This window comes from Homo sapiens, chromosome 2, assembly GCF_000001405.40.
Source record: "Homo sapiens chromosome 2, GRCh38.p14 Primary Assembly".
NCBI classification, from domain to species: domain Eukaryota; kingdom Metazoa; phylum Chordata; class Mammalia; order Primates; family Hominidae; genus Homo; species Homo sapiens.
In genome coordinates, this window is record NC_000002.12 from 12,118,202 (window position 1) to 12,139,682 (window position 21,481).

The 21,481-nt window shown below is 42.4% G+C and overlaps 1 long non-coding RNA gene across 2 annotated transcripts in view, besides 1 other annotated feature; it reads left to right on the top strand.

The window, feature by feature from the left end:
• Positions 1-21,481, top strand: part of MIR3681HG (MIR3681 host gene) — a 571,233-nt gene that overhangs the window by 111,086 nt on the left and 438,666 nt on the right. The window contains exon 4 of one of the 2 annotated variants that reach the window (NR_110197.1): positions 13,105-13,384. The exons of the other annotated variant lie outside the window; for it this stretch is intronic. This is a non-coding gene — a long non-coding RNA (MIR3681 host gene). Of the gene's footprint in view, positions 1-13,104; positions 13,385-21,481 lie in introns of those variants that run through there. 2 annotated transcript variants of the gene reach the window in all.
• Positions 2,608-2,808: a silencer, noted in NCBI's record as "peak3592 fragment used in MPRA reporter construct". NCBI's record gives its function as "represses an SCP1 promoter by STARR-seq MPRAs in K562 erythroleukemia cells {active_cell/tissue: K562}" and the evidence as "EXISTENCE:reporter gene assay evidence [ECO:0000049][PMID:32103011]".

Below are 21,481 nucleotides of genomic sequence, written 5' to 3' on the forward strand. Positions count from 1 at the left end.
CAGGCTGGTCTCGATCAAATGACCCACCGGCCTTAGCTTCCCAAAGTGTTGGGATTACACATGTGAACCACCGCACCTGGCCAAATGTTTTAGGTTTCTTCTAATGTTTTTCAAATGTGCTTCTTGAATAGTGCAGTTGCTTTGGCTCTATGACCATTAAGAATCTTACAGAGACAACCTCACAGCTGGAGACTAGTTGGTGGCCATTTCCACCATGGACATGTGAAAGTGAATATAAAGCATTACTTCTCATCCCTGGCTGCACCTTGTAATTACCTAGAGAGCTTTTAAAAAGAACACTGATGCCTGGGATCTAGAAAAAATATTTGAATATAATTGGTCTGGGATGGAACCAAGCTATCATTATTACTATTGTTTTTCCTCAAGTTCCTAGGAGTTTATTATGTACATCTATCGTTGGGAACTATGCCCTATAACAAATAAGAATCAACTAGATATAAGGTAAAGGGGTGCCCTAGAGGAGATATTGTTTATAAGAAGACAGTAGTATCCTCCCAGCCAGTGGCTGGAATTAGGAAATTAAGTAATGTCTGACCAGGGTTGGTATGGCATTCAAAGCCTTCCACAGCCTGATTGTCACCCGCATTTTCAGGCTCACTTACTGCCAGTCACCCCTACATCTTGCGATGCAATTACATAGGAGTATTCAATGCACTCCAAACATGATCCACATTTGTGTCATATCAACTCTATGCTCCCAACCTAAGACCTCTGGCTACACAGCTTTGCACAGTGAGCACTTATTCACTTTATGAAGCAGATGTCAACAATCCTAGAAGCCCAAATTGCTAAGAGAGTAAATTTCAAATGTTTTCACCACAAAAAATGTGAAGTATTTGGGGTAATGGGTATGTTAACTAGCTTGATTTAATGATTCCACATTTATTTCATGAATCCTGACAGTGCTGTGTACCCTAGAAATTGATAAAATTATAAACTGCCAATCTGTGATTTTTTTTAAAAAAGAAAAACGAAATCTCAGGCCAGCGTCAACCTCTCTCTGAGACACTCTCCTGGTAACTGGCTTACACTTCAGAGAATGTGGTTGATGTTGAGTTGGTACCCTGGTCTCTTGTCCCTTGATTCAGTATTCCAAGTCTCATCTGCCCTGTGGCCTATTCCACAGTAGGCGCTTAATAAATGCACATTAAAGGAATGAATGCAAACAACATAGCTGTCATCTCTGAGGATGAACTATTTTTTTTCCTAATATGTTTTCCCATACTCCAATTACACACGCTATGAGCCTTTCAGTCCTTGAATGTTCTGGCTCGGAGGGCTCTTTGTCTCCTCTCACAGATGGGAAACTGAGCTTCTGAGAGGAGATATGCTTCTTCAACAACATCTCGATGGAATTGGAAAGAGGAATGTTAGACGTTTTCCTAGTTTTCATCGTTTTTCTTCCATTCCATGAAGTGTCCTCCTCCAGTGGAGCTCCTGACCATCACCTGTCCACAGGAGCGTGGTGCGCAATGTGCTCTTGCAGTGTGGATGCTGCAAGTGATCTAGGATGTTAATGAGCCCAGCTCACTTCTGTCCACCCCCAGGGCTTCAACTTCTACCCCACACCCAGACCTGCTGCATTCAGAGGTCTAGCATTGTCTTTGTTCACATAGCCAACTGCCTACAGGGCACCTTCCCTGCCATTTTCCATAGAGCCCTTAAATGCCAGAAAGGGACTCATCATCTTCTTTTTAAATTCTTTCTCCTCATTCCCTATCTCAGGAAATGAGACAGAAACATAGGAGTCATTCTAAGGCCTTCCATTTCCCTCACTGCCAACATCTAATTACTCACCAGGTCTTGCTGCTGCCACTTCAGAACCACTTTTTTTTTTTTTTTTTTTTCCCCAATTAGGGACCTGGTGCCATCATCTGGCTTCTTACAGCCTGGATCAATCTTTCTATTTGGGGATGCTTGTTATTTTTCCAATAAAGAGACTTTCAAAAAGTCAAAAAAGTGTGCCTCTTGCCTGGATTCACAGATGATTTTGAAAAGGATAATTACCTCTTCCATCTTCAGCTATGATTCTATTTTGGAATCCTCTTCCTCTAATTAAAAAAAACAACAACAACTCCTAATGCTATTTGAGTCTGAGTCATTTGTGCAGTGAAATCACCAAAGCTGCACAAATAAACGTGAAATGCAGGACTCAGGCTCCCCTGGCCTCCCCCTGGGATTGGACATCCCCACAAGATGCAGATAGTAGTTCTTGTGGCACACTTTCCAGATCCAGACCCAAGGCAAACAAAGTATGCTGCATTTTGGGGCAATTTTTCCCCCAAGCTTCTCTTTCAAATGCTTAGAATAGCTTCTGGCATTCAATAAATGTATATTTTTCCTCCCTGCATGTATTCTCCAGGGATTTAAAAATATGCATAAATACTGCTTACGATATGACTAATGCCCTAAGGCCATGAGCAGTGCCCAACTTTCACTCTAGTGAGCATGCAGAGATGTCACCTCATCTTCTTCAATTTCATTAGTCATCAAGGCGTCATAAAAGCTAGAGTTGGGAAGCCCGTAGGGACCACCAAGCATGACCCCTATTTATGCATGGGGAAATGGAGGTCACACACCTCATCAACATCAGTTATAAAGGGCACTGACTTTCAGAAACACACAACACATTAAATCTAGACCTTCCCCCTGGAAGAGCTAACCACAGACTGTTACATGTGGCATCAGTGAAGTCGCAGTTACTTTGGAAGCACCTAAATGCGTTCTGAATTGCCAGTCATGCTGCATATATGAGAGAGAGAAAGAACTGGTCTTGTTAGTTCAAAAGGAGGGGTCGGATCTCCATCAGATCCACATGAAGGGCAGAGAAGAATGAGTCAGAGGCAGGCCCAGGTTCAGCAAAGGCCCAGAGTTTAGGAAGAAAAAAATTGTTGGGAGGAGACTGCATTGTAATGCTTCTATGCTCTTTTCGTATTCAGTTGACTTCAACAACATATTTTTTGATACCCAAAACCATCAGGTGCTGTGCAGGGCATGAAATGGATCATATGTAATCACAAACGGTTGCAGCTTTGAGGGGCTCATAGATGATCAAGTAATCCTAGCACAAAATGGCCATCTTATAATGGAACTCACTGTGCGGTGCTGTAGAGGCAGAGGAGGGGCACTACTCCAGTCGGGGATATTCTGGAAGACGTCACAGTGGGTGACACTTGACTTGGGCACTGAAGGATGAGTAGAGTTTACCAGATGCCCAAGAAGGGAGAGGGTAGTTCAGGAAAAGGAAAGGTTTGTCCAAGGGCACAGGAGGGCAATGTGGTCCAGCATATCCCTGGAGTGTAAACAGTAGGTTTGAGGCAGGAGTGGGCGGTGCTAAGAGGTGAGACTGGGATGAGATGGTGCAGGAACTTAGACACTGGACATTGTCATGAACTAATTAAGAGGCAACACCAACACTGCCTCAGCAGAGGATGCTCCCCCTGTGTCTTATTGGAGTCGCCATGTTTGCTTGTCTCTTCTGCCCACAGCCTTCCTCCATGGGCATTATCATTCAGTTGCTTCCCAGAAAGCTGGGGATCATTTGGATTCATGTTTTCTCATCTTCTTTCATCCAACTCATCCCTAGGTCCTGTCCATCTCCCTCCCAAGTCTACCCCTATTTATCCACCTCTCTCAGGCACTGCTACCCCTTCATAGTCAGAACCACTACCACCTCTTGCTTAGCTGCAATCATCCCCCAGTGAATTTTCTTGCTTCCATTTATAGCTCTCCTGGTTTTGTCTGCTTGCACAGCAGACAGTGGTATCTTCAAAAATGCACTTCTGATCAGGTCACCATGCCACTTTTATTAAGGTAACTTAGTGGCTTCTGGGTAAATAACTTTCAAACCCCTTCCTGTAGTCTGCAAGGTCTTGCCTTACTGACTGCTTTGGGTCATTCCACCACCCCAGCCTCCTCCCACCACTGAATGCCCCTCATCCTCGCTCATTCTTCACTCTGACAGTCCTTCCCCACCTTAGGATAGTCACACATGTTATTTTCTCTGCCATGCATGGTCTTCTCATGCTCTCATGTGGATCTCAGACCTCAGAACATGTTACCACTCAGAAAGTCCTGCCTGACACCACCCTTCTGTCCTACCAGTCTATTTTGCAGTGTCCATTTCTTGACAGCACTTATCACATTGTACACTAGTGTTTTTTAAACAATTTATTCTCAATTCCTAGTACAATGCTTGATGCCCAATAGTTGCTCAATAAGTATTTCTGGAATGTGTGAATTGATCATATACCTTGCTGTGTCAGGCAGGGTTCTTTAGAGAGACAGAGCTAATAGGATATATATATATACCCATATATATATATACCCATATATATACACCCATATATATATACACCCATATATATATACACCCATATATATACACCCATATATACACCCATATATATATGCCCATATATATATACCCATATATATATTCCCATATATATATACCCATATATATATTCCCATATATATACCCATATATATATTCCCATATATATACCCATATGTATATTCCCATATATATATACCCATATGTATATTCCCATATATATACCCATACGTATATTCCCATATATATACCCATACGTATATTCCCATATATATATACCCATACGTATATTCCCATATATATATACCCATACGTATATTCCCATATATATATACCCATATGTATATTCCCATATATATATACCCATATGTATATTCCCATATATATACCCATATGTATATTCCCATATATATACCCATATGTATATTCCCATATATATATATACCCATATGTATATTCCCATATATATATACCCATATATATATTCCCATATATATATACCCATATATATATTCCCATATATATATACCCATATATATATTCCCATATATATATTCCCATATATATATTCCCATATATATATATTCCCATATATATATTCCCATATATATATATTCCCATATATATATTCCCATATATATATATTCCCATATATATATTCCCATATATATATATTCCCATATATATATATTCCCATATATATATTCCATATATATATTCCTATATATATATATTCCCATATATATCTATATATATTCCCATATATATCTATATATATATATTCCCATATATATCTATATATTCCCATATATATCTATATATATATTCCCATATATATCTATATATATATATTCCCATATATATACACGGGAGTTAATTATTAACTTACATGATCACAAGGTCCTGCAATAGGCTGTTTGCAAGCTGAGGAGCAAGGAAAGCCAGGCCGAGTCCCAAAATTGAAGAACTTGAGGGCAGGAAGCATCCAGAATGGGGGAGAAAGACGTAGGCTGGGAGGCTAGTCCAGTCTCTCGTTTTCACGTTTTTCTGCCTGTCTTATATTCGATGGCAGCTGATTAGATTGAGCCCACCAGATTAAGGGTGGATCTGCCTTCCCAAGCACACTGACTCACATGTTAATCTCTTTTGGCAACACCCTCACAGACACACCCAGGATCAATATTTTGTATCTGTCAATCCAGTCAAGTTGACACTCGGTATTAACCATCACACTTTCTAAAGGCAGATTTTGGTGGTCATGATTTATGGCATGCAACCTACGTGACAAGGTCTGAGCTAAGAGAAGTAGAGGTAGCTGGAAGGAATAGATTTGAAAGATATTCCATTGGCAGAATTGACATGGTGCCAATAGATGTGAATGATGAAGAGAAGGGAGTTGAAGATGGTGCTGTTTTCTGCTTGAACCACCAAATGATGGGCCTTTCTATAAGTTGAGCTCTTGAATGAGGGATGAGTGTTATTGGAGTGGAGAGAATTGACCTGCATGTTCCACAACTCCCCCATACACGCCATTCCCCTCACCCAGGCAGGCTGCCCGTCCAGCTCTCACTCTCCCTCCAACAATTCAGCAATGCCCACCTCTAAAGCTCAGGCTATTCTCCAATTCAGATCGTCCCTGCACATTTTGACTGATTGACAGCTGCTTCATCTCTCAAGATTTATTTGATGTTCTCTTTTCTGCAGGAATTTCCCTTAAGCCCAGCCCTCTGACCAAGTGTTGCCCCAGGACTCTCATGTCATTTAGAAACAGGGACCATGGAGACATGTAGGTACATTCTATATACCATGCATGGTGTATAGAATTTCAAGACTTGGCCAGGTGTGGTGGTGCATGCCTGTAATCCCAGCTACTTGGAAGGCTGAGGTGGGAGAATTGCTCAAACCTGGGAGCGGAGGTTGCAGTGAACCAAGATGTCACCACTGCACGCCAGTCTGGGTGACTGAGTGAGAATGTCTTAAAAAAAAAAAAAAGAATTTCAAGACTTGATCAATCATTTGTATATTTGTGTGTTGTAATAGAGACAAACTGTTTTGAGAAAACTCTTGGATTTTCCTTTTGGATAGACATTTGACCCCATTTTGCACAAAACACATGATCCTCTATTCTCCTAAATGTCTTGGATAGAGTTATGAGTTTTCACAAATGAATGGAAACCCTACTATTTGCTTGTTTGGGCTTCTCCTTCAATCCATGACATAAAGCAATGGCATTTGAGGCAGTGAATTGAACCTTAATCCTTGACTGCTTTATCAAAAGCCTGGATAATGGAAGTGATATTTATGAGGACTTGTTTGAAGGGCATGCTGTTTATCCCTTCCTCTAGTTGTGCTAATTTTTATTCCTGCATCAAGCTGTGCACTTGGACCATATGTTCTTAGTCCCCAGCAGAATTTTCATGCATTTTAATGTTATTTCCTTGGCTTACATCCAGAGATATTATACATAATGGCTTTATGAAAACTATTACTGTGTGGGATGTCTTTGAGGTAGTGTGCGTTAGGTCCTTGCTCCAGCTTCCTTCTAGATGAAGCCTAGAGCAAGGGCCAGGAAAGACTTTGCTTCCTCTGAGGAGCTGGGACACTTTTTACTTTGTGGTAACAAGACTGACTGTATCTTGGTTTTTGGATTGATCATAGGAAGCGCAGAGCCAAATGTACAGGTGAGTTGTAGCAACCATGAAAGCCTCTATGGTTTGCACAAAGGGAATGAGTAGAGTTAACAGAGTGGAAGCACCTGTGGACATTGCTAGCCCCACAGAAAGGGAGTGGGGAGAATAGCAGAGACATCAATCATTTAATAGGCTGAGAGTTCTTGCTGCTGGCATTCTCCAATCCCCCAACCTGGACAGCTTTCTATTTTGATTCTCACCTGCTTTATGACTGTGGCAAGTAATCAACCTTTTCCTGACTTTGGCTTCTTGTAAAGTGAGGGCTTACATGAGAGGCTGTCCAATTGGAGGTTAATTAGAGGCCATCTCAGAGCGTGTCTTGATGATGCCTTCCTTCCCAGGTCCTTGGCCCCTACCCTTCCTTATTCTCACTCCCACCTCTGCCTATTCTGAGATAACACCAGGTGCTTCTCCACACAGGTGAGTCCTGTCTACTGCAGGCGTTCTGAAACTTAGCTACACAGTAGAATGATCTGGGGAGATTTAAAACAGTCCAATGTCCCAGCTGGCATCCTTTACAGAATAAATTAGTCTCTGAAGTGGGACCCTGGCACCTTTATTTTTTACGGTTCCCCGGATGAGGCCATTGTGAAGCTGCATTGGAGAACCTGTACTTTTGCAACTTTACTGTCCCTTTGAATTGCCTGGGGATCTTTTAAGTGCAGATTCTGACTCAGTGGGTTTGAAGAGAGGCCTGAGAGTTTACATTTTTAAAAAACTTTTAGATGATGTGATGTTGTTGGTTCCTGTGTCACACTCTGAGTGGCAAGGTGAAGACACATATTTGGTGGATAATGCAAAAAAGGAAGGACACCTGACTCAGTCCCGCTGGAGCCCAGGGGAGGGGGAACCAGCATGCTGAAATGAGCACAGCCATGATCTGCATTCTGCTTCACTGAGCTATTGACAAAGTTAAGTTCAGTGTGAGGCCCGGAGTTTTGGGGGAACCATGAAGCCAAGCATATTCTGTAACCAATGAGGCTGAGAGCACCTTAGAAACACATTCACTTTTCCAACTTCAGAATCTAAATCATCATAGGTGTTTGCTAAATGAGTAAAGAGATGCGGAACAGGCACTCTCTTCTTTGAGGGCAGAAAAGGACCCACTTTATTGCTATAGTGTGACTTGAGACAAGGATTCTGTCTCAGGGTGTTTCATGAAGAAAAGATAAGGCGTGGTATTAGATTCAGGGTCAGGCTCCAGCCCAAGCTGAGGTCCAAAGGGAGTGGGTGACTGAATGGCAGATAGCTGAAAGAACACTTGGGGGTGCCGTAGGTAGGTGAAATACAGCTTTATTCAGCAGCTCTCTCATCAGCAGTTCTCTTACCCTGTCTGCTCTGTCTCGGCTACTTGCTCTGGTCACTCCCATGCACAGTTGTGCAGCTGGCTCTCCCTTTAGGGTCAGCAGCTTAACTCTCTCTCTGGACATTAGTGCTCATGACTGATACTCTATCTTACAGGAAAATGACATTTGCTATTATGTGATTCAAAGCATACTTGTTAATTATCATATTTTTAGCAGATACATAACATCCATTTTTAGAACATTCAGGAAAAAAAGTCATGTCTTTGAAGACATGTCTAGGTTACAAAACTCTGGGTAGTCATATAAGAGCTTTCTTTTCTCTTTCTTCTCCCCCTTTACTTTTGGTCAATTATAAGCCAGAATGAAAAGACGTAGTTGACTTCAGAATGGTGACTTACTCCAACCAAGAGAGAGTGTTGCTGTATAACACTGCATTTTCAGTGTGTGCAGGAAGTATGATGGTTGGGGGACTCTTTGCCATGGTTATGTGATCTCATGTCAAGGACAGGCTGTTATGAACTGTTACCCCCTAAAATTCATATTTTGAAATTGATTCCCCAATGTGATAGTATTTGGAGGTGGAGCCTTTGGGAAGTGATTAGGTCATGAGGGTGGAGCCCTCATGAATGGGATTAGTGCCCTTATAGGAAAAGGCCAGAGAGCTAGTACCTCTCTTTTCATCATGTGGGGACACAGCAAGAAGTCAGAAGCCTACAATCCGGAAAAGGACCCTTGCCTGAACCTGACCATGCTGGCACCTGATCTGGGGCTTCCAGCCTTGGAACTGTAAGAAATGAATTTTAGTGGTTCATAAGCCACTCAGTTCACAGTACTTAGTTATAGCAGTATAACTTAATAGTAGCCCGAATGAAGATGGAGATTGTGTTTGAAAGCAGGTGGATGTAGCCAACTGTATAGTTCCAATAAAAGGAGTGGTAGTTTGATAATAGAGGGGGGAAAATGAAGACTGATTTCATGCATTGAGGTTTGATTTACATTTTTGCTATCAGAGTTTATTTCCTGCTTTAAATGGAATCATTCATGGTGAAGAATAAATCAAATTCTGCTTGAATTTTCACAGTCAGGATTGGGTGTTTTCTCTTTTTAAGACTTAAAAAGGAGCCAGGCTCACTGTTACTTCCTGTGCTGTCACCTGAAGCAAAGCAGAGTCTGAAATTCACCCTTAAAGAGACAGAGCAGGGGAACAGAAGATCTTGCTTGCAATCATAGACTCACTTTTTCCCTTTTCTCTTTCTTAAAAAAAAACCCCGCATTTCTCATTTTCCTTCTTTCTAATTTCCCCCTTTCTCTTAGGTGGAGTAAAACATGAGCTTCCAGAACTAGGTAGTGCAGTGAGCAAAGTGGCTGTATTTCTTTCTACAAATGTGCACTTCCTGTTCATGTTTTGCAGGTCACAGGAACGCCTGTGTGGCTTCAATCTGCCTATGTCCCTTCACTGTGGGGTAAACTCACATCAGGCTTGGAGGTTGGCTGATGGCATGCTGCTGACCTTTATTAAAACTTTTGTGTGTCATATTTTTTGGACCTCTTTCCCTCCAAGAGCTTCTACTGCAATCCAGAATGGAACCCTTGAGGATGAACGCTGGTGTCTTGGCACTTGTGCGACTATGTTCTACTCCCATCAGGGGTCCTGTCCCTCGGGACTTTGATACAATTTCTTACTCACTTCAAAGGAGGGTATTCTGGATAGTGCCTTATAAAGCATGTAATACGTGAATAAATTCTCGTTGGGAAGGGAGCCCTGTTTAGGGACTTCATCTGGAATGTGCTAAAAAGCAAAACAAAGTAATTTAAAAAAAGTCAGTCAAGCCTTCCTATTTAGAAGAGTAGACCACAAAGTTAGGGCTAGAATCTGGAATAGGGTTGGAGTTGAGAGTGGAAACTGATCTGCGTAATTAAGTAACAGGAATTTGTAGGGATTTGGAGTCTTCCTGATGCATTGCATAGGGAAGGTGGAAATTACGTGTGTGTGTGTGTGTGTGTGTGTGTGTACACGTATAGATAATGAAGAGGAGTGCAAAGGAAATAGTTAAAGAAGAGAAAAAAAGTCTTGGTAATGAAAGGAAGTCCATCAATTTAAAACTAGAAACTGTGCAATTCTTGGCAAGGATGGCGGAAGAAAGGGTTAATGAAGAAAATAGGTGAATGAATTGTGTGTGTACCATGCACATGGTGCCATGGTTCACTATCAATATTCAGTAAGTGTCTGGTTTCCAGGAAAGCCTGGTATCAGGGTTGCTCTGAGGAATAAAAGAGAGAGTTTGAGTTGCACACCAAAGGGGTTGAGGTGATGGAAGAAAGCCAGCAGCCTTAGGAAGTGAGAAAACTAGCAACTCCTGGGAGTCATAGGAAGCAGGAATGTGGAGCCAGGGTGGGGAGGAGAAAGTAAGCCCTTGGAAATCTGGAAGAGACTGGGTTTTCCAGTATATGTGGAATGGGGACTTAGGTCATTTAAAGTGGATTTACTAGGAAAGGTTGAGCTCAGAATGCTGGAAGACTTGGGGACATGTGGGTTAAAAGCTTTAGATATGAAGACATTGAGCAGGACTCATAGTTAATAATCATAGCTAACACATGAAGAGTGTTTACTAAATGCTAGGCACAGTTTTAAGACTTCATTAACCCAGTTTCTTCAATAACTGATGAAGCAGATGCTTTTAATATCTACTTGTTAAAATTTTTTAAAATTACAAATTAGAAAACCGAGGTTCCTGGGTGAGGAAATTGCTTAAGGTGACAGGGCTGGTTAGTTTGAGTGTTACCATTCAACCCAAATTCAACCCAAATTCAACCCAAGGGATGTGTCTTCTCCTACCTTGTGTCCTGGAACAAGGGACTCCACCCCTTCAGAGTCGAGGTTGTTCTCTTCATTAGAATGAAAGTGTTGGGCTCATTGATTGATTGATTCATTCATTCACTCATTCATTTAAAGCATTAAATGAGAGTTTAGCATGCCTCAATAAGAGGATTTTCTGCCTGCTTTGGGGTTTCTGGCAGAATGCTGGTGGGAGCCTGGAACTCTGAGAGCTCCTGACAAACCTTCAACCCTTTATTTCCACAGCATCTGCTACCCCTCACCACTTCCAACACTCCTTTTGCCCTGCTTGGATCAGTCACCCCAACTGCCTCAGGTCAGCTCTCAGCCCCAGACTCTGACCCCCACAAATATCTGTAATACAACTTTCTGTTTTTCATCAAATCTTTTCCAATTCCTGTAACTCTTTCCCTGTGATCTCTTCATATGGTTGGACATCAATACAAAACACCTCTAGCATCATTCTTTCCTGATGGTTCCCTTTACCTTTGATTCCCTGAAACTTAGCCCTCCCAGAAGGACACTGCCTCTCTCCCAAAATGGGCTTACATGTGGTGAGGGGGGTGTCCCTGCCTCTTCTGGGAGACTCCCGACCATTTTTTCTTTCCTTCCAATATTCTAACTGTCCCCCCAGTTCTGTATCCATGGTCCCAGTTTGTACCACCCACCACTACTTCTTGAAGTCATGTGCCAACTCCTAGGTCACTCCCCGCACTGTTTGAAGTTTTTAGTTCCAGACTCACTATTAATAGGTGACACATTACCAGGGTGAGTGGTCTCAGCATCCATTTAGGAGACCCTTTTATCCCTGGGGCCTCCAAATCCCTTGGCCTCCTCTTCTTTTTCTCATCCACCTAAGTACTCATTCCCACAATCATATGTATGATTTCATTACTATCAGTGATAACAGCAACTTCTCCATGGTCTCCCATTTTAAGCATCCTTCTCTCTGTCCTTTGCCATCTTTTTGGCTTCTTTCTCTTAGTACCCTTGACTCCAACAATCGTTTAACCTCACAGCATCCTGCAATCTATTAATTCTATTATTTTTTTCCCACTATCTGTCTTTCATATGTCATCACTGCTCTATTTACCCAACTGAAATTCCATAGCCTTTCATTTCAACCAGCTAGAATCTGGACTCTGCTGGACAAAAACATTCTGGTCTTGCTGTAAATTCATGATCATTAATTTCAAGTGGACCCTTACAGCAATGCAGCAAACATTTGATAATCTCCTAGTGCATTCTTGGTCCCATGCTCCTATGCAACAGTTTTATTATTCACCTTCATCTCTTTCCTCAAATCTCTGACACCTTCTCCCCCATGTGCAATCTCCACTGGTGATCTTGCTGAGAAAATTGAAGTTTTCAGAGGGAAACCTCTGTAAATTAACACCAACCCATCTACTCACCAGCCTGAACCTGTGTCCTTATGCATTGCTTCCTCTCCTGCCGTGTAGATGAATTGTCTGTGCTCCCAGCAAGTGCTGTTCCTGAGCGGCATGTATTACATTCCATGTCCTCTTCCTACCAACGGATGTTGCTCCTGCCATTGGTTGATTGGTTGCTCTCTGACCTCACCATCACTTTTCCTTCTGTACCTGCTCTTTCCCATGAGGATGCAAACATACATCTTTTCAACACACACACACACACATACACACACACACACTCTTTTCTTCTCCCTTTATTGTTCCATTTGTCTCCCTCATTTATACCAAATATCCTCACAAAATCAATTGTCCTCACTCACTGCCTCCATTTCCCCCAGTATATATATATTTTGAATACACATGTACTTGCAGGATAGTTTCTGCAACAATTGTTTGAGTGGTATAAACAAGAGTCATTTATTTTTCTTTCCACCTGCATCTGCTGTGAGCTGACTGGCTCTTCTTCTTGTTTCTCCTCCAGGGGACGACCCAGACCATCATTCTTCTCTGGTCTGCCACCTTCATCCTCCACTTGCAGCCTCCTTTGCAGTGACCATACAGGTGCAGAGCATGAGCAGGATGCACAGGGGTTTATGTGGTCAGGCCTGCCTGGAGTTGGCACATAGCATTTCTGCTTCCATTCTTAGGTCTGAAATCCAGGTCACAGAGCCCTAACATAACTACAAAGGATCCTGAAAAGTGTTGTATTCCAGTGTGCCTCGGAAAAGAAAATAGGATTAATAAACTTTGATTAGACTAAATCATTGAGATTTAAAAGTTTTTTGTTGTAGCTGCTAGCATTATTTATCTTGACTAATACAGAAATTGCTATTAGTTTTTGCTGTAAAAAAACTAAAATACATGACATTGGGGAGTTTGAGAGGTGAGAAAAAAAATAGATACCACACTCTGGAGAGCTAGAGATCCATGTTATGTAGCAGCAATATATTTGGTAAATGTCCCTGTTTACTCAGATCGTAGCTCAAAGGTAAAGTGGAAAACAGAATATGTGGACTGTGGTGTGTGGAGGCCCTTATTGTCTGCATGTGCAAGACATTAGATATAAAAGATGTGCTCAATATTAACTGGACAATTTGTCAACAAATATAAAAGCAAATAGAGTCTAGAGATGTGTGATAGGCTTGGCAAAGCCTGCTTCAGTCTTTAAATAAGATAGAAAATTTAATAAGGCTTTGGGTGAAAACTTCACAGAGCACTTCTCAGTTGAATAGAGTGACTCAGAGCAAAGATCAGATGAAGAATGTAGCTTTCCCATTCAAGCCTGATAACCTGACTGTATCTGTCATAAAGGGGAGAGGAAGACGGAACGAGGGAGAAATGGAAGGAGGGAGGGAAGGAGTGGGAGGAGAGAGAGAGTTGAGGATTGTGCAAAGAGGTCACATAAGAACTATGTGTCCAGGAATAAACTCTGGGTGTGTTCCTGACTTATGAAACTGACTGGGTGAAGTAAATATGGGCCTCCTTTGTGCTCAGGAAGAAGACATAAGACAAACATCTCTTCCCTGGCACGTTGCTTGAATCAGGCTTTCCTCCACCCCTACTCCCCTGAAGCTACTCTTGTCCAGGCACCTGACATGGATATGCTGCTACATCAGAAGGTCCGCTCTCAGCCTTCATCCCACTTGGCCTCCCAGCAGCTTTGAGCAATTGATCACTTTCCTGTTCTTTGAAATAATTTCTGCACTTGGGTTTGTTCTCTGCTCACTTCCTGCTGTAAGACTCCCCTGGCTTTCTTAGTCTTCCTTACTGGTTTCCCGCCATCTCCCTGATCTTTTCATGTTGGGATCCCAGGGCCCAATCCTTGGACCTCTTCTCTTGCTCTCTACACTCAGTCCCAAGATGTTCTCATTAAGTCTCATGGAATTAGATACCATGTAGGCACTGGTACTTCCCAAATTCATGTGTCTAGTGTAGATCTCTCTCCTGGCCTTTGGATTCAGATTCATCTATCCATTGCCTTGTTATTTCACTTGTGTTGGCCATCTCAAGCCTAATGTGCATGCAACAGAATGCCTGATTGTCTCCCCTAATCTTTCATGATTTTCCCCACCCTAGGAAATGGCCATTCCCTCCTTTGGGATACTTAGGTTAATACACTTGTAGTCAACTTTACGTCCAGTTCATAACTCATATTCTTCATGCAACCTACTGGCTAATCTTGCTGTCTCTACCTTTAAGATACTCCCAGTACCTGAGCAGTTCTCTATACCATCGTGGCTACAGCCAGGCCAAGTTGTCCTCATCTCTTACTTGATCACTGCAGGAAACTGATGGCCCTGCTTCTGCGGTGCTGCCTTTTCATCCACTCTCCACGCGGTTGCCATAGTGATAAAAAATAAGTCAGATTATGTCTCTTCCCCGCTCAGACTTTGTGATGACCCCCTTGCCAAGGCCACACCCAGAGCCCTTTCAATGCTCCATGGCCCTGAGGGCCCTGACTGTCTCCTACCTCTCTGGCCTCTTCTGTTTCCCCCTTTCACTGATTCCTGTTTGGCTACTCCGGCCCTCTTGCCAGGCCTTGACTGTCCTACACATGCTCCCACTGCAAGACCTGACCTGCTGTCACCCTTCCAGATCTTTGCTCCCACGCCCATTTCACAGGGAGGCCTTTCCTCGGACTCTTGGGTAAGCTGCTTCCCCAGGTCCCCGCACTCCCTATGTGCCTTCCTGTGTTACTTTCCTCCAGAACGCTTCCCAGTTTCTACCTTAGCAATAGCTTGCCCACTTACTGTACTTGTTGCCTGTCTCTCTCCAGGAAAATAGAGGCTTAAAGAGTTAGAGATGTTTGCTTGGTTTATTTCATGCCCTGCCCAAGTGCCCAGAAGAATGCCTGGCACAGGCTAGATATTCAACACATATGTGTAGAATATTGAATGAAGGAATAAATTCACGCATTTATGTAAACAGTGAAATACGTTGAAGGGACAGGTGATCCAGGCTGGCAGGAGAAAGAACGCCAAGCTGCCGGGGCAGGCCTGGGCTCTGGGAAGTCAGAGGGGCTCAGGCTGCCAGGCTGCCCCCATGTGCCTTGTCCTGTTTTGAAATTCTCTTCCACGACTGGACGGCCTCGACCCTGATGCTGAGGCTTCCTGCTCTCTGCAGACCCCACAGCACGGCGTCCTCTGGCTGCTTGGCCTGGGGGAAATGAGGAAATACATTGGTTCCCTTGGGGACATGGGCTCATGGTGGAGGGAGGCCATCCTCCTTCCCTCTCTCCATCTTCCCTTATCACTGTCCATCATTGTCCCCTCTTTTTTTTTTTTTTTTTTTCATACTTTAAGTTCTGAGTTACATGTGCAGGATGTGCAGTTTTGTTACATACGTATACACATGCCATGGTGGTTTGCTGCACCCATCAACCCATCACCTACATTAGGCATTTCTCCTAATGTTATCCCTCCCCTAGCCCCCCCACCCCCCATAGGCCCTGGTGTGTGATGTTCCCCTCCCCATGTCCATGTGTTCTCATTGATCAACTCCCACTTATGAGTGATAACATGCAGTGTTTGGTTTTCTGATCTTATAATAGTTTGCTGAAAATGATGGTTTCCAGCTACATCCATGTCCCTGTAAAGGACATGAACTCATCCTTTTTTATGGCTACATAGTATTCCATGGTGTACATGTGCCACATTTTCTTAATCCAGTCTACCATTGATGGACATTTGGGTTGGTTCCAAGTCTTTGCTATTGTGGATAGTGCTGCAATAAACATACTTCTGCATGTGTATTGTAGAATGATTTATAATCCTTTGGGTATATACCCAGTAATGGGATTGCTGGGTCAAATGGTATTTTTGTTCTAGATCCTTGAGAAATTGCCACACTGTCTTCCACAATGGTTAAACTAATTTACATTCCCACCAACAGTGTAAAAGCATTCCTATTTTTCCGCAACCTCTCCAGCATCTGTTGTTTCCTGACTTTTTAATGATCACCATTCTAACTGGCAAGAGATGGTATCTCATTGTGGTTTTGATTTGCATTTCTCTAATGACCAGTGATGATGAGCATTTTTTATATGTCTGTTGGCTGCATAAATGTCTTCTTTTGAGAAGTTGTCTGCTCATATCCTTTGCCCATTTTTGATGGGGTTGTTTGCTTTTTTCTTGTAAATTTGTTTTATTTCTTGGTAGATTCTTGATATTAGCCCTTTGTCAGATGGATAGATTGCAAAATCTCCCACTCTGTAGGTTGCCTGTTCACTCTGATGATAGTTTCTTTTGCTGTGCAGAAGCTCTTTAGTTTAACTAGATCCCATTTGTCAATTTTGGCTTTTGTTGACATTGCTTTTGGTGTTTTAGACATGAAGTCTTTGCTCATCATTATGCCCTGAATGGTATTGCCCAGGTTTTCTTCTAGGATTTTTATGGTCCTAGGTCTTATGTATAAGTCTTTGATCCATCTTGAGTTGATTTTTGTATAAGGTGTAAGGAAGGGGTCCAGTTTCAGTTTTCTGCATATGGCTAGCTAGTTTTCCCAACACCATTTATTAATAAATTATTAATTTATTAAACAGGAAATCTTTTCCCTATTGGTTGTGCATGTCAGGTTTGTCAAAGATCAGATGGTGGTAGATGTATGGTGTTATTTCTGAGGCCACTGTTCTGTACCATTTGTCTATATATCTGTTTTGGTACCAGTACTATGCTGTTTTGGTTACTGTAGCCTTGTAGTAAAGTTTGAAGTCGGGTAGCGTGATGCCTCCAGATTTGTTCTTCTTGCCCAGGATTGTCTTGGCTATGTGGGCTCTTTTTTGGTTCCATATGAAATTTAAAGTAGTTTTTCCAGTTCTGTGAAGGAAGTGAGTGGTAGCTTGATGAGGATAGCATTGAATCTATAAATTACTTTAGGCAGTAAGGCCATTTTCACGATATTGATCCTTCCTATCCATGAGCATGGAGTGTTTTTCCATTTGTTTGTGTTCTCTCTTATTGCCTTAAGCAGTGGTTTGTCATTCTCCTCAAAGAGGTCTTTCACATCCCTTGTAAGTTATATTCCTAGGTATTTTATTGAGGAATTTTGCATTGATGTTCATCAGGGATATTGGCCTAAAATTCTCCTTTTCTTGTTGTGTCTCTGCCAGGCTTTGGTATCAGGATGATGCTGGCCTCATAAAATGAGTTAGGGAGGCTTCCCTCTTTATCTATGATTGGAATAGTTTCAGAACGAATGGTACCAGCTCCTCTTTGTACCTCTGGTAGAATTCGGCTGTGAATCCATCTGGTCCTGGGCGGTTTTTTTTTTTTTTGGTAGGCTATTAATTATTGTCTCAGTTTCAGAACCTGTAATTGGTCTATTCAGAGATTCAACTTCTTCCTGGTTTAGTCTTGGGAGCGTGTATGTGTCCAGGAATTTATCCATTTCTTCTAGATTTTCTAGTTTATTTGCATAGAGGTGTTTATAGTATTCTTGATGGTAGTTTGTATTTCTGTGGGATCGGTGGTGATATCCCCTTTATCATTTTTTATTGCGTCTATTTGGTTCTTCTCTCTTTTCTTCCGTATTAGTCTTGCTAGCAGTCTATCTATTTTTCTGGTCTTTTCAAAAAACCAGCTCCTGGATTCATTGATTTTTTTGAAGGTTTTTTTTTTTGTATCTCTATCTCTTTCAGTTCTGCTCTGATCTTAGTTATTTCTTGTCTTCTGCTAGCTTTTGAATGTGTTTGCTCTTGCTTCTCAAGTTCTTTTAATTGTGATGTTAGGATGTCGATTTTAGATCTCTCCTGCCTTCTCTTGTGGGCATTTAGTGCTATAAATTTCCCTCTACACACTGCTTTAAATGTGTCCCAGAGATTCTGGTATGTTGTGTTTTTGTTCTCATTGGTTTCAAATAAAATCTTTATTTCTGCCTTCATTTTGTTATTTACCCAGTAGTCATTCAGGAGCAGATTGTTCAGTTTCCATGTAGTTGTGCAGTTTTGAGTGAGTTTCTTAATCCTGAGTTCTAATTTGATTGCACTGTGGTCTGAGAGACAGTTTGTTGTGATTTATGTTCTTTTACATTTGCTGAGGAGTGTTTTACTTCCAATTAAGTGGTCAATTTTGGAATAAGTGCGATGTGGTGCTGAGAAGAATGTATATTCTGTTGATTTGGGGTGGAGAGTTCTGTAAATGTCTATTAGGTCTGCTTGGTCCAGAGCTAAGTTGAAGTCCTGGATATCCTTGTTAATTTTCTGTCTCATTGATCTGTCTAATATTGACAGTGGGGTGTTAAAGTCTCCCATTATTATTGTGTGGGAGTCTAAGTCTCTTTGTAGATCTCTAAGGATTTGCTTTATGAATCTGGGTGCTCACTTATTGGCTGCATATATGTTTAGGATAGTTAGCTCTTCTCATTGAATTGATTACCATTATGTAATGGCCTTCTTTGTCTCTTTTGATCTTTGTTGGTTTAAAGTCTGTTTTATCAGAGACCAGGATTGCAACCCCTGCATTTTTTTGCTTTCCATTTGCTTGGTAGATCTTCCTCCATCCCTTTATTTTGAGCCTATGTATGTCTTTGCACGTGAGGTGAGTCTTGAACACAGCACACTGATGGGTCTTGACTCTTTATCCAATTTGCCAATCTGTGTCTTTTAATTGGGGCATTTAACCCATTTACTTTTAAGGTTAATATTGTTATGTGTGAATTTGATCCTGTCATTATGATGTTAGCTGGTTATTTCACCCGTTAATTAATGCAGTTTCTTCAAAGCATCAGTGGTCTTTACAATTTGGCATGTTTCTGCAGTGGCTGGTACCGGCTGTTCCTTTCCAAGTTTAGTGCTTCCTTCAGGAGCTCTTGTAAGGCAGGCCTGGTGGTGACAAAATCTCTCAGCATTTGCTTGTCTGTAAAGGATTTTATTTCTCCTTCACTTATGAAGCTTAGTTTGGTTGGATATGAAATTCTGGGTTGAAAATTCTTTTCTTTAAGAATGTTGAATATTGGCCCCCACTCTCTTCTGGCTTGTAGGGTTTCTGCTGAGAGATCCTCTGTTAGTCTGATGGGCTTTCCTTTGTGTGTAACCCAACCTTTCTCTCTGGCTGCCCTTAACACTTTTTCCTTCACTTCAACCTTGGTGAATCTGACAATTATGTGTCTTGGGGTTGGTCTTCTCGAGGAGCTTCTTTGTGGTGTTCTCTGTATTTCCTGAATTTGAATGTTGGCCTGCCTTGCTAGGTTGGGGAAGTTCTCCTGGATAATATCCTGAAGAGTGTTTTCCAACTTGGTTCCAGTCTCCCCGTCACTTTAAGGTATACCGCTCAAATGCAGATTTGGTCTTTTCTCATAGTCCCATATTTCTTGGAGGCTTTATTAGTTTCTTTTCATTCTTTTTTCTCTAACCTTGTCTTCTTGCTTTATTTCATTAACTTGATCTTCAATCACTGATATCCTTTCTTCTGCTTGATCGAATCAGCTATTGAAGCTTGTGTGTGCTTCACACAGTTCTCATACTATGGGTTTTCAGCTGCATCAGGTCATTTAAGGTCTTCTCTACACTGGTTATTCTAGTTAGCCATTCGTCTAACCTTTTTTCAAGGTTTTTAGCTTCCTTGTGATGCATTAGAACATGCTTCTTTAGCTCAGAGAAGTTTGTTATTACTGACCTTCTGAAGCCTACTTCTCCATCAACTCATCAAAGTCATTCTCCATCTAGTTTTGTTCCTTTGCTGGCAAGGAGTTGTGTTCCTTTGGAGGAGAAGAGGCATTCTGGTTTTTGAAATTTTCAGCCTTTCTGCTCTGGTTTCTCCCCATCTTTGTGGTTTTATCTACCTTCAGTCTTTGATGTTGGTGACCTATAGATGGGGTTTTGGTGTAGATATCCTTTCTGTTGATGTTGATGCTATTCCTTTTCTCTCTGTTAGTTTTCCTTCTAACAGACTGGCTCCTCAGCTGCATGTCTGTTGGAGTTTGCTGGAGGTCCGCTCCAGACCCTGTTTGCCTGGGTATCACCAGGGGAGGCTGCAGAACAGCAAATATTGCTGCCTGATCATTCCTCTGGAAGCTTCATCCCAGAGGTGCACCCACCTGTATGAGGTGTCTGTCAGCCCCTACTGGGAGGTGTCTCCCAGTCAGGCTACTGGGGGTCAGGGGCCCACTTGATGAGGCAGTCTGTCTGTTATTGGAGCTCAAACGCCATGCTGGGAGAACCACTGCTCTCTTCAGAGCTGTCAGGCAGGGATGTTTATGTCTGGAGAAGCTGTCTGCTGCCTTTTGTTCAGATATGCCCTGCCCTCAGAGGTGGAATCTAGAGAGGCAGTAGGACTTGTTGAGCTGCGGTGGGCTCTGCCTAATTCGAGCTTCCCTGCTGCTTTGTTTACGCTGTGAGCATAGAACCACCTACTCAAGCCTCAGCAATGGTGGACGCCCCTCCCCTCCCAAACTTCAGCATCCCAGGTTGATCTCAGACTGCTGTGCTAGCAGTGAGCAAGGCTTCGTGGGTGTGGGACCCACCAAGCCAGGCATGGGAATCTCCTGGTCTGGTGGTTGCAAAGACTGTGGGAAAAGTGCAGTATTTGGACAGGATTGTACTGCTTCTCCAGGTACAGTCACTCACGGCTTCCCTTGGCTAGGAAAGGGAAATCCTCCGACCCCTTGTGCTTCCCGGGTGAGACAACGCCCTGCCCTGCTTCAACTTGCCCTCTGTGGGCTGCACCCACTGTCCAACCTGTCCCAGTGAGATGAACCAGGTACCTCAGTTGGAAATGCAGAAATCACCTGTCTTCTATGTCAATCTCGCTGGGAGCTGTGGACTGGAGCAGTTCCTGTTTGGCCATCTTGGAAGCAACCCCCTGTCCCCTCTTCTTAAAGGGGAGATTGCATTAGGATCCTCAACATGGCTGAGCACTGCATCA